This window comes from Homo sapiens, chromosome 9 (genome assembly GCF_000001405.40).
Source record: "Homo sapiens chromosome 9, GRCh38.p14 Primary Assembly".
Taxonomy (NCBI): domain Eukaryota; kingdom Metazoa; phylum Chordata; class Mammalia; order Primates; family Hominidae; genus Homo; species Homo sapiens.
Genome location: NC_000009.12, coordinates 137,229,664 through 137,241,286, shown reverse-complemented (window position 1 = coordinate 137,241,286; position 11,623 = coordinate 137,229,664). Strand labels below are relative to the sequence as shown.

Sequence of the window (11,623 nt, the reverse complement as noted above, 5' to 3'; positions counted from 1 at the left end):
ACAACCGACGCTCCGCCAACGCTTATATACCCTCCCTGCCCGCCTCCGCTAGTCTCGGAATGGGCTGCCAGAACGAGGCTGGCAAGCTCCCTCGTTTGATTGGCCTTGCCCCCGTCAATCAAGCTGCCTAAGGTCCGCCTTTTTAAGCCAGTTTGGTCTTTATTGGTCAGCCGCAGCCTCCTATCTCCCTATCACAATCCCCCTCCTGGCGCCGCAGTGCTCCGTCCATTGGGTGTTTCAAATGATTGATTTGCCGTCTCATTGGCTGGCTGCCGGGAGCACGCCGCCAGGCTGGCGCTATTGGCTGCGCTGCTTCAGCGTCCTGGTAACCGCCGCAGTGCCGCGGCCGGCGCGCGGACGGGGTGGGGCGCAGGCGCGAGTGCGGGCTTCCGGTCGGGCGGCGGGCAGCTGCGCTGGGGGCGCCGAGGGAGGGCGGGCCCGACGGGCCTCGGGCAAGCGCAGTCTTGGCTCTGAGCCCGGGGCCTTTCGGGAGCCGGGAAGGGCAGGCTCGGTGGCGGCCCCACGTCCAGAGTTGCGCCCTCTCTGGCCTTGCGCCGGGACACGGCATCTGCGCGCTGGGCGGGTTCTGGAGCGGGGTCCGCACGGAGCGAGCCCGGGGCCTCCAGGCCGAGGAGGCTGCGATGCCTTAAAGGCAGGAAGATACACGGGCTCGGGGGCTGCGGCGGTGGAGGGGAGCTCTCCACAGAGCCGCAGAGGCCACGGAGTTTCCTGCTCCCGGGTGCCGCACGCCCACTGCCCTCGCGGTCGCGTGAGGGGAGCACGTGGGGGACGCCGCGCCCCGAGGGCCGGGGCGGAGGGCAGGGGAGGGGAGCGGAGGGGCGAGGCCTCCCCCGCAGCTGCGCGCCCTGCCCTGTTGTGGAGACGGCGCTGGCTCTGCGCCGGTCGCCTTGGTGCCTCGGCCCCGTGAGTGCGCGAGCTCCGTGGAGACCAGGACAGCGCCCAGACCTCCCTCGGCGGGTGGGCCCCGACCTCCGGGCTCCAGGGCCGGTATTCCAACCACAGGTCAGCGCGCTGGGGCTGAAACATACTTCTGTTAATGCTTTTCCTAATTTATGACTTGATTTTTACTTGGGTGGGAAAAGAAACTTAAAATGAATTACATGTGGTTGCGCCTGTTTAAAAACAAACGGGCTGTATTTTTGCAGCATTTTTATTTTACTTAATTTATTATTCTGAGACAGAGTCTCGCTCTGTCTCCCGGGCTGGAGTGCAGTGGCGCGATCTTGGCTCCCCGCCCCCCCCCAGGTTCAAGCGATTCTTCTGCCTCAGCCTCCCCAGTAGGTGGGACTGCAGGCACCCACCACCACGCCGCTAATTTTTGTATTTTTGGTAGAAATGGGATTTCACCATGTTGGCCAAGCTGGTCTGAAACTCCTGACCTCAAGTGATCCGCCCGCCTCGGCCTCCCCAAGTGCTCGGATTTACGGGAATGAGCCGCCGTGCCTTCTACATTTTTGTAGCTTTTTTCTTTTTTTTTTGAGATGGAGTTTTGCTCTTGTCGCCTAGGCTGGAGTGCAGTGGCGCAATCTCAGCTCGCTGCAACCTCTGCCTCCCCGGTTCAAGCAATTCGCCTGCCTCACCTTCCCAAGTAGCTGGAACTACAGGTGTGCACCACCACGCCTGGCTATTTTTTTTTTTTTTTTTTTTTGAGACAGAGTCTGGCTCCGTCGCTCAGGCTGGAGTGCAGTGGCATGATCTCGGCTCACTGCAACCTCCATCTCCCGGGTTCAAGCGATTCTCCTGCCTCAGCCTCCCGAGTAGCTGGGATTACAGGCGCCCGCCACCACGCCCGGCTAATTTCTGTATTTTTAATAGAGATGGGGTTTCACCATCTTGGCCAGGCTGGTCTGGAACTGACCTTGTGATTCATTCGCCTCGGCCTCCCAAAGTGCTGGGATTACAGGCATGAGCCACTGCACCTGGCTGTATTTTTGTAGCATTTTAAATAAATTACACCATCAGGTCGGCCCTGACAGTCTCCTGTGCTCTGGCCACTGGGCATCTGTCTCCCAATTGGAGGCTGTTGGAAACAACATCTGCTTATTTATTTCTCTCTTCCTGGAGGGACTGCACCTCTGTCTTCACCACATAATGCGCGATACCAGAACTCGGGACACGCAGCACCGGAGCATGCGCGGGGATCAGCATTGTCCTTCTGGGGCGAGGGCCTGCAGCTGTGCTCACTCCTCGGGGGTCTGTTGCCAGTTTGCCATCCTGTCCAGGAGGGTGGCCTCCCCCACAGATCAGCCCAGGAAGGCGGGCCTGGCTTCCAGTGACCACTGTGACACAGGCCTTGACCCTCAGAGGGACTGGGGTCCTGCAGCGGCCTGAGGGGTGCACAGGTTGCTGCCAGCCATCCCAGGTTTCTCCTAGTGCCCAGGGCATCCTGGGGTCCTGCAGAGTAGCTCAGCTGTCCAGGCAGTAGTCAGGGACATGTTGGAGTCTCATAACATTGAGTTGTCACAAAGGGGAGAAGGAGAAGCTCTGTTTTTTTCCTCAGTGAACTGTGCAGAGCCCAACTGAGGCTGCTCTTTGAGGTGTGTGGCATTCCTGCACCTTGTCAGAGTCTCCCAACCCCTCTCCAGTAAAGGCCCCTGCTTCCTGTGACCAGTGCCCACAGGGCTGGGAGGTCAGTGTGCCACCCGTTTCACAGGTGTCACCTGCCCAGGTGAGAGCCCCAGAGCTCGCCATGGCACCAGCTTGCCTACTTTGCCCTTGCATTGCCCTGGTGAGGTGGACACTGGCTGGGGACAAGACAGCAGTAGACACCCTGAAGCCTGGGCCTGAGCCCAACAAGGACAGCAGCCACCCCTGTTGCACAAAACTGGTTGGGGAAGGCTCTGTAGGTCCCACCCTGAGCCAAGGTGCCCTGCTGCAGGATGGAGAGGCGGGATAGTGTGGGGCAGGAGGACCAACTCCTGGGCCTGGGGTCTGTGGCCAGGCAGGATGTGGTCCAAGGAGGGCCAGAAGGGCAGGGAAGCGGGGCAGGCGTGGCTGTGGGAGTGCTGGGCACCTGCCCTCCTCCTCCTGCAGCTGTCGGAGGATCCACAACGAAGGCTCTGTTTACTGGTGGCCATGGTCCCAGTGGGAGGGTGTGTTACCGCCAGGCAGGGACAGCAGGCAGACAGTATTGGCTGCCTTAAAGGACCAGACGCCCAGCCTTTGTGGGAGGCCTCACCTGCCCTGGAAGGACAGGTGCATGGGGTGCTTCCTCCCTCTCTCCACAAGGGCCTCACTGATCCCCCCCCAAAGGACAGGGGAGCTCCCCGGCCCCTCAGGCTCCCCAGGGAGCTAGCCAGGCTTGTCCCCTACAGGGGTGCCAGACGGTTCTATGAGGCTGATGTCAGGTCCACAGGGGCGTCCTAGAATCACAGGGCTGTGAGAACCAAAGCTCTAGCTGCTGGGGGTCCCATTCTCACTGGAGCCCACCCCTGAGGCACCCCTGGCTCCCAGAGCAGGTGGTCACCTCCCTCGGTAGGTGAAACCAAGGCCCAGGAGGCCTAAGAGTTTGAGGGGTGGCTGGGGCAGAGGACCCAGGGAAGACTGGGGGCCAAGGGCACAGAGGGTCTGGGGGTCATGAGCAGGGGCAAAGGGAAACTGAGGGCAGAAAAGAACAGAGCCACAGAGGAGAAGTGGCCGTGGGGCCCCCTCAGGCCTCATCTTCCTGAGTGGCTGCACCTCTATCCCCTAGTGGGGTCTGACCAGGCAATCCTGGGAGGCTCTGGGAAGAGAGCTGCCCCCCAACAGGGCTGCAGTTCTGGAAGGGAGAACGTGACTGGCCACAGCAGCAGACTCAAATGAGCAAACTAGACCTGTCCCTGATGGGACCGTCCCCTCACCCACCCGTCTCTGTGTGCCTGAATGAATGCTCCAGTTCTGGGGTAACCCAAGGCTTTCTTCCCTTGGCGGGAGTGGGGGTTGGGTTAGGGCTGTGGGCAGCTCTGGGCTAGAGGTGGCAGGAGCCCCCCCTCAACTTCCTAGGTGTCCAGTTACCCATTGGCTGGCAGACAAGCCTTCCTGTGTGGAAACCCGACCACACAGCAGAGGGAGGGCCCCCTGGCCCCCAAGTCCTCCCCATGGGTGCTGTCCGCCCTCCTGGGCCCACCCCACGGACAGGCCTTCCCGGGACAGGGTCTCATTCTCCGTGGCAGTGGGAGGCCTCAGTGTGCCCCAGCCTGGCGGGTGAGACTGGCTTCCTGGTGGGTTCTGGGAGCTGAGCACCTGCCGTGGCCCAGCCCTGCAGAGAAGTGTCCCCGAGGGGCCCAGCCCAGGACCGGCTGAGAGACACAGAGGGCAGACAGACAGGTGGTGCCTCTGGGACCACCTGGCCCTCCAAGCCGTCAGGGTCCCTTCTCACACCCCACGCACCTGATGGGACTCCAGTCCCCACCCCAACCATGACATCCGCCGGGGCAGAGGAGCTCCGGGATCCCCCACACCCTGCACCACCGGCCCTGCTCCCTGCTGGCTGGGCTCTCCCCTGCGCCCCCAGGAGGGGCCCCAGCTCCCACTGTGGGAAGTCCCCGCCCCCCCAGGCCCGCCATTCCTTGGGAGCTTCTGTCCCCAGCGGCTGCCGTGAGAAACACACCTTGGGGTGGGCGGGCTCCTGTGCCTGAGCCCCAGGCCCCGGAGTGTCCACCAGGAGGCAGCATCGGGCTGCTTCCCCCACCTGCGCAGGCGGCCCCTGTCTAGGGGAGTGAGGACCGCCACCCCAGATAACAGCCTGGTTTATTTGCACAGAAGGGGAAGCAGGTGACCGGAGGTCAGCTGCCGCGGGGACCCCCCCTCCAGGGCCCTCCAGAGCCCTCCCAGCCGGGGAGGGTGGGGCGGTCTGCTCAGCAACTGCCCGTCACAACTGCTGGGAGGCCAAGATCTCAGGGTTCTCGTAGCAGTAGGCCTCTTTGGTGGTGGCCTTCGGGGGGCTGCAGACGTTGCAGGGGCAGCAGCGGGTCACCAGGCGGTCCCAGGGCTCCAGAGAATGGAGCCAGACGGGGAGCCAGGCCCAGGAGCGCAGGCGGACAGGCAGCCAGGCCGGCCGGCGCCGCTGCAGGACAGTAACCAGGATGACGAGGAGCACCAGCCCCACCAGGGGACCCCCGACAGCGGCCAGCTCCATGCCCCCTGCCAGGGAGAGCCCGAAGGCCGCCAGGGGCAGCAGCAGGAATCCGAGCAGCAGGTAGACCCCAGCCACCCAGCGGTAACGGGCGGTCACCACCCCGAAGTGCCTGGCCAGCGGGATGGGCAGCCGCAGTGCAGGCACCAGGTACCACAGCAGGATGCCGGCCAGGTTGAAGAAGAAGTGGATGAGGGCGACCTGGGGGCGAGGGGGCTGTCAGGGGCCTGGGCCCAACGAGGTGGGGTCACCAGGGGCCCCGGACCCCTGCCCTCCTCCACCCTACAGAAGGAGCGCCAAGTCTGAAGTTCATCCTGCTTCACGGATGAGATGGCCGTCTGGGAGGCGGGCTGTGGCCAGATGTGGACATGTTCCCCAGCACGCCTCCCGCACGCTCCTGGGAGCTGCAGTCCAGCCCAGCACCCCCGAGCACTGACTGCATCACTGCTGCCCTCAAGGGGGACCTGCGGGGGAAGCACCTTCCGACCTGGCTCTGCCTGTGCCTCCTGCCAAGAGACCCCGTCTCCTCAGTCCCCAGTGTGCTGAGCCTGCACAGTCCAGGCCCTGCGGGGAGGAGGCACAGGGCCACAGGAGGGGAGAACAGTGTCACGGGCCCCTCCAGGGGCTGCCGGACTTGGAGGAGTCCACACACAGGTGCAGTCTGGAGGGCTTCCTGCAGGGGGTGGAGCAGGACCCTGCACTGGGAGGGTCTAAGTGGATAGAGACAGGGCAGAGGCAAGAAGAACGAGCGTGGGTTCCAGGGGGTGCCGCACTTGTCTCTTCCTGTCAGCGGCGGTGCAGCATGACCCGGAGTTTCGGGAGCTGAACCTGTTGGGCCTCCGGGCAGCAGGCCGCAGACGGGCTGTTTTAGAGGGAGAACCAGCTGGACTAAATGAGACTGGGGTTGGGGCACAGAGCTGGGGGCTCAGACTGGGGGAAGTGTCCTGGAGGCAGAATCACAGCCCTGGCAGCGGCAGGGCAGGGCCCAGCATCGGTGGGACTCGGCCTTTGCAGATGTGGAATGGGGGCTGGGAGGGTCGTCCAGATGGGGACCTGCTGGAGGTGAGTGGCTGCTCCTTGAGGGAGCAGGGGTTGGGGGAAAGCATCTGAGGGTGCTGGAATAGAGGGGCTTAGAGCCCCCTGAGATGCTGGGGGCAGGCCCCCAGGGACACAGCAAAGAGCTGAGAAAATGTGGAAGTGAGGAGGTCTCAAGGGAGGAGACGCAGGGAGGGTGTGAAATGTGTGCAGGACCTGTGGGGTCCAAGGAGGCAGAGCAGCAGGGCTGAGGCTGGCGGCCAGGGAAGGGGTCCAGGAAGGCGGGGGCACAGCCAGCCTAGGGCCCCGGGGCTGGTGACACACTCCTGTCTGTGGGGCTGAGAGGAAGCTGGCCAGTTCTGGCAGCGGGGCAGGGTGGACAGTACCTGCAGGGCGCTGAGCATCCTGTCTGCGGGGCTGGCCAGGGCAGCCAGCAGGGCTGTGGTAGTGGTGCCGATGTTGGAGCCCAGTAAGAGGGGGTACGCCCGGTCCAGACTGATCACCCCGACCCCTGGGGGAACTGGGAGTCACCACAGGACCCCAGCCCGAGCCCCCGTTCCCGAGGCCTCTGTCCTGCCTGCTCACCCATGAGGGGCACGACGGCCGCCGTGAAGACGCTGCTGCTCTGCAGTGCGAAGGTCAGGCCGGCGCCCGCGAGGACGGCCAGGTAGCCGCCGAGCCAGCCCAGCGGGAAGGGGAAGTCTGTGGGGGATGCCGGGTCAGCCCTGGCCAGCGCCCACAAGGAGGGCCAGGTAGCCCCCGAGTCAGCCTGGTGGGAAGGGGAAGTCTATGGGGGATGCTGGGTCAGCCCTGGCCACCGCACCTCCTCCCACGCCCTCACCCGCATTGATGACTGTCCTCACGACCTGGGCCACGCGGCCGCGCAGCACAGAGTTGAGCAGCTTGACTATGAGGACCAGGCAGCCGCAGAGCACCAGCAGGGAGCCGGCCAGCAGGATGCAGCCCACGGCCAGGTCCGTGAGCTCCGTGCCCGCAAACAGGTGGCGGCCTGGGGGCAGGGCAGGGGCAGGTGAGGGGGAGCCTGGGGGGTGGGCCGGGGTGGGCCGGGCCTCACAGGGCAGCCTGTCCGCCGGGGCTGTGCTGTTCCTCTCCATGTAGGGGCCGGTGAGGGGGAGTGTGGGGGGTGTAGGGGGCTTGGGGTGGGCCGGGCCTCACAGGGCAGCCTGTCCGCCGGGGCTGTGCTGTTCTTCTCTGTGCACGGGCCGAAGGCGCCACAGCTGCTGTTCTCCTGGGTCTGGGGAGGGCAGGGAGGACTCAGGACAGGCTCAGTGGGCAGACAGAGGTCAGAGGGCTCGAGGTGAGGGTGGGTGGGGCGGGATGACTCAGCAGGTGGGAGGTTGGGGGTCAGTGAGGGCCTAGGGTTGGGTGCCTCACCGGCTGCCCCGTGGTGCCGCACCAGTGCTTAATGAGACTGCTGTTAGTGGCGTTGCCTGTGGCACTGCTCATGATCATGTCGGAGTCCAACTGGGGGCCAGAGGGGTCGTGACGGTGTGCTGCACCCTCTCTCAGGACTCACCCGGGGCTCTGGCGCCCGCGGGGTCCAGCCCAGCCCTGCCCACTGCTGCCCTCTCCTCCCCTGTCCCAGGACAGGGCCCAGACCCTCCGCTGACCCTCCATCAGGGCAGGGCGGGCCTCCCCTCCTCCCATCCGGCCTGCTCAGGCTCTCTGGGCGGGGGCGGTGGCCGTCCTCACCTGCACGATGAGGTGTGTGAGCGGCTTCGTCAGCACCTTGAGGATGTCGGGCGCCTGCGCCCTGGGTGTCAGGCTGGCGGCACCCAGGGCTAGCTCACTTAGCCTCTCCAGCAGGGCCGTGGCGCTCTCCAGTGGCAGCAGGACCAGCACTGTGAGCCAGTTGAAGATCCCGTGCACCGCCGAGCCGCTGAAAGCCCTGTGGCCGCAGAGAGTGGGCAGGGTCAGGTGGGGGGGCCCGGGCTGGGGCTGCCACTGCAGCCCCAGCCCAGCCCTTCCACCCACAACTCACCTCTGAAATTCATCCCGGTCCCCTGACTGCGCCATTGAGACCAGGGTGCTGGTGATGGATGTGCCTACGTTGACACCCATGATGATGGGCACAGACACCCGGACAGTCAGCACTGCTGGTGGGGGGGCTGAGTCAGCCTGCGGCCCACCCTGCCCCCCCCACCACCCGGGGAGGGAGTGTGCACCCACGCTTAGCAGCCACCATGCTGACCACGATGGAGGAGGACGTGCTGGAACTCTGCACCAGGGCTGTGACCAGCACGCCAATGACCAGTCCAGCCACAGGGTTGGACAGCACCACGTTGTCCTTGAAGATGTCTCCGGCCACTTTGCCTACACCGGCAAGAGAGGTGCGCTGAAGCTGCGGAGGGCTGGTTGCCCGCCCCGCCCTGGGCACCCGTCCCGTCACTCACTGCCCAGCAGCTGGAAGGCGGAGCTGAGGACGTCCAGAGAGCAGATGAAGAAGTACAGGCTGCCGAGGAGCCCGCAGGCCTTGAGGACGCTGCCGGCCACGCGGCGCAGCCTGCCGGCCACGCGGAGCTCTGAGGACACAGGGCAGGCTGTCCCTGGCTGGCCCTCCACCCTGACAGGTCTCCCTCCCAGGCCCCTCATTCTCTGCCCCCTCTCTCCTCTGTCTCCAACAGGGCTGGGTCCCATTTCCTCCTCTTCCGTAACCCCCAGGGCAGGGCCCGGGTTCCTGCCTTTCCAAGCCAGAAGCCCTTGGGACCCTCCCTCGCAGGAGCAGGAGGGGAGGGACGGATGGGCAGAGGTGGCCGGTCTGCCCCAGGACAGCACAGACACCCGGTTGAGGGACACGTGTCTCCCCAGAGGGGGCCTGCATGGCGGAGTTCCCCACACACAGCCTGTTTGGGCAGGCCCCACCCTGCTCTGTCTCCCCAGTCCCGTTGGGGACAGAGGCCTGCCAGCCTGCCACCCCCGGAACCTCCAGACCCACCTTTCCAGGGCTGGCTTGTGTCCTTCAGCTGAGGGAGGGTCCAGGGGTCTGTGTCCCCTTCCTCCAAGACTGGAGCAGAACTGGAGGTCCCTGTGGAGGTAGAATTGAGTACGGCTGTTTCCAGGACCACCTCCCTCCAACTGGGGGCACAAGGGCACAGGCCGGAGGACGGGCTGAGGCGTAAGAGGCCTGGAGTGAGGGACAGAAACGGAACGGGGAAGATGGGGCTCCAGCTGGGCTGGACCTGAGTGGAGGCGTCATGAGCCCTGTGGGTTCCCCGGGAGGCCCGCAGGAAACCTGGCCTGTCTCTGCCCAGTGCCTGGGGGGTGGGTGGTCAGACTGGTGAAGGCCTGGGGCACAGGGGCCACTGGTACCTTCATTCCTCAGAGTCTTTTCCACTAGGTCAACCGCGTCCAGAGTGGGGTGGGGGACCTGGCTGCCGGGAAGGGAACTCGGCATGGATTTCGGGCAGGGACAGACCCAGGCCCAGGTCTAGATCTGCTGGGGGGGACGCGCGTGTCAGAGACATTTCCTCCTGCCCCGGCCCTGTCCTCACAAGCTGGATTCACACCCCTGGGTCCCCTGAATTGAGCCCTTGGCCGCCACCCTCCCTCTCTACGCCCTGCAGGCCTCAGTGACCATCCCCCTTTCTCCATCCACAGGGGGATGGCTACAATGACCTCAGGCAGTTGTCAGGCGAGCCCAGTCCAGTTTCAGGGGTAGACTCGAAGGGGCTCCAGCTCCCCGGCTCCCTTGCTGGTCCTGACTGGAAGGCTAGTGCCGAGGGTGCAGGCCATGAGCTGGGGAACCTGGGGACCTCCCCTATCTGGTGTCATCGGGGACACTGTGGATGGTCCCGACTTAGACTTTGGCATTTGATACTAAACAGTGACGTCTCGGCTTGATAAGGGCCCCACGCCCTGGTGATGGGGAGCAGGTGGGGTCCTCACACCACTTCAAGGCTCCTGGCCCCGAAGCTGCTGCCTTAGCCTCCTGGGCCTGGTCACCCCACCCCTGGGGCCCCCCACCTGGACCCCTCCACCTAGTGCCCTGGGCTCAGGTCCAGGCGTCCTGTGCCTCACCCTCCCTCCTGCTGCCCAAGCCTGGCGTCTCTTGCCCTTGGGTCCTGGAGACTCAGGATGGGGCCCAAGCCCTTGGCCTGGAGGCCACCCAGCCTCGGCCTCACTGTCCCTGGGCCTCAGCCTGGTCCTAGGAGCTCCTACCTGTGTGGGTGGTGAGGGGGCACCTGCAGGGAGGAGACACGGGGCGGGAGCAGTTGCAGGTCAAAGATCCCCTGATCGCGCACATGACCTGCTGGGTACTGAGCCCATTAATGTTTACCCAGGAGCCCAGGCCCTCACGGGGGTACCCTCCTGGCCCCAAGGCCCCTAGGCCTTGTCTCCATCCTGTCACTCTGTGGCTAGGACCTCCAAGCCCCAGCCCAACCCTCCTGGAGTGGGGCTCCTCCCAGGGGTGGGCTCTGAATCAGGCCGAGGGCACTGCGGGGCGGGGCACCGGCCCTCGGTACTGGGCATCCTCAGCAGGCATCCGTGTGACCCAAGAGACACACTCCACCCAGCCAGGCAGGATGCTAGAGTATGGCTGGGGCTGCCCGGGAGTCGAGAGACGCCAGTCCCCCACTTCCATGCACCTCAGGGCTCCCCAGACCTTCTCAGGGTCATCCCTGCCCTCGGCAGAGCAGGGGAGGGAAGCCCTTTGCACCAGGTGGTGGGGGAGGACGGGCTTTTTCACGTAGCCGGGGAGGGCACCCAGCCCGAGGTCAGAGGGTTCAGATCCGGGTTCAGGGCAGGGTTGGGCCCAGCAGGCTGCTAGCGGGCTCGGCCCTGGTATAGCCAGCGACGGCGGCCGGCAGCCTCCATCTGCAGAGGGGAGGACAGAGCTCCCCAGGCCACCTTCCCCACCCGCTGCCTGGCCCAGCGCACAGTTCTCCCCAGCGGAGTCCCAGCTGGCCCCACCGCCTGTGGGGTGTCCCCTAGGAGGACTGGGCCTCTTCCTGCCCTGGGGTGCGGGGCAGCTCCCCCAGAGGCTCACCCTGCCCAGGGGCTGCTGGTGCCCTGCTTTGCTTGCTGCCCAGCCCCCGCTGTGTGCATGGGGACTTTGCCCTGGAGAAGGTAGAAGCTTCTGAGTGTCCGCTCAGCAAATTCTCTTCCGTCTCCCTCCTGCGCCCTTGCTCTGGGGGTGGGGGGCAGCAGTCCTTCCCTGGGGCTCCTGAGTGACAGCTCGTTCCAGTGGGGGTGGGGGTGTTGCAGCACTGACTTGGTGGTAACTGCTGTCCACAGTCTGGCCCCAGCCCCAGCCCCGGCCCCTCAAAAGGGTCTGTGTGGTGGCTGCTCGGAGCCAGGAAAGGTTCAGCGAAGGATGAGACCAACTGGGCTGTGAGACCTCAAGCAGGCCCCAGCCCTCTGTTGGCCTCAGGCAGGCCCCGCCGAGGCATCCCCTTCAATGCCTGTATGGCTTCGTGCCTACACGAGACCCTC

At 65.0% G+C, this 11,623-nt stretch overlaps 1 protein-coding gene across 15 annotated transcripts, besides 4 other annotated features; it reads right to left on the bottom strand.

Annotated features, from left to right (window-relative positions):
- Nucleotides 156-975: a silencer, noted in NCBI's record as "silent region_20598". NCBI's record gives its function as "represses an Ori minimal core promoter by ATAC-STARR-seq in GM12878 lymphoblastoid cells {active_cell/tissue: GM12878}" and the evidence as "EXISTENCE:reporter gene assay evidence [ECO:0000049][PMID:35858748]".
- Nucleotides 4,345-4,574: a silencer, noted in NCBI's record as "silent region_20597". NCBI's record gives its function as "represses an Ori minimal core promoter by ATAC-STARR-seq in GM12878 lymphoblastoid cells {active_cell/tissue: GM12878}" and the evidence as "EXISTENCE:reporter gene assay evidence [ECO:0000049][PMID:35858748]".
- Nucleotides 4,595-4,924: a silencer, noted in NCBI's record as "silent region_20596". NCBI's record gives its function as "represses an Ori minimal core promoter by ATAC-STARR-seq in GM12878 lymphoblastoid cells {active_cell/tissue: GM12878}" and the evidence as "EXISTENCE:reporter gene assay evidence [ECO:0000049][PMID:35858748]".
- SLC34A3 (solute carrier family 34 member 3) lies at nt 4,732-11,557 on the bottom strand. 15 transcript variants are annotated; one of them, XM_047422793.1, is made up of 13 exons: nt 11,178-11,557; nt 9,500-9,623; nt 9,126-9,215; nt 8,584-8,712; nt 8,360-8,503; nt 8,172-8,283; nt 7,883-8,078; nt 7,565-7,654; nt 7,346-7,424; nt 7,011-7,178; nt 6,755-6,871; nt 6,556-6,680; nt 4,732-5,335 (listed from the first exon to the last, which is right to left on the bottom strand). In XM_047422793.1, exons 2-13 carry the CDS (start codon nt 9,582-9,584, stop codon nt 4,871-4,873), a joined length of 1,800 nt encoding a protein of 599 aa, XP_047278749.1. In that variant the 5' UTR covers nt 9,585-9,623; nt 11,178-11,557; the 3' UTR covers nt 4,732-4,870. The 15 variants fall into 15 exon arrangements, with proteins under 15 accessions (XP_047278749.1, NP_001170788.2, NP_001170787.2 ...); NM_001177317.2 differs by lacking the exon at nt 11,178-11,557 and adding an exon at nt 10,349-10,530 and having other exon boundaries at nt 9,500-9,626; NM_001177316.2 differs by lacking the exon at nt 11,178-11,557 and adding an exon at nt 10,349-10,386.
- Nucleotides 11,089-11,589: an enhancer, noted in NCBI's record as "H3K27ac-H3K4me1 hESC enhancer chr9:140124150-140124650 (GRCh37/hg19 assembly coordinates)". NCBI's record gives its function as "activates a minimal SCP1, AML or CMV promoter by ChIP-STARR-seq in primed H9 embryonic stem cells {active_cell/tissue: H9 hESC(primed)}" and the evidence as "EXISTENCE:reporter gene assay evidence [ECO:0000049][PMID:30033119]".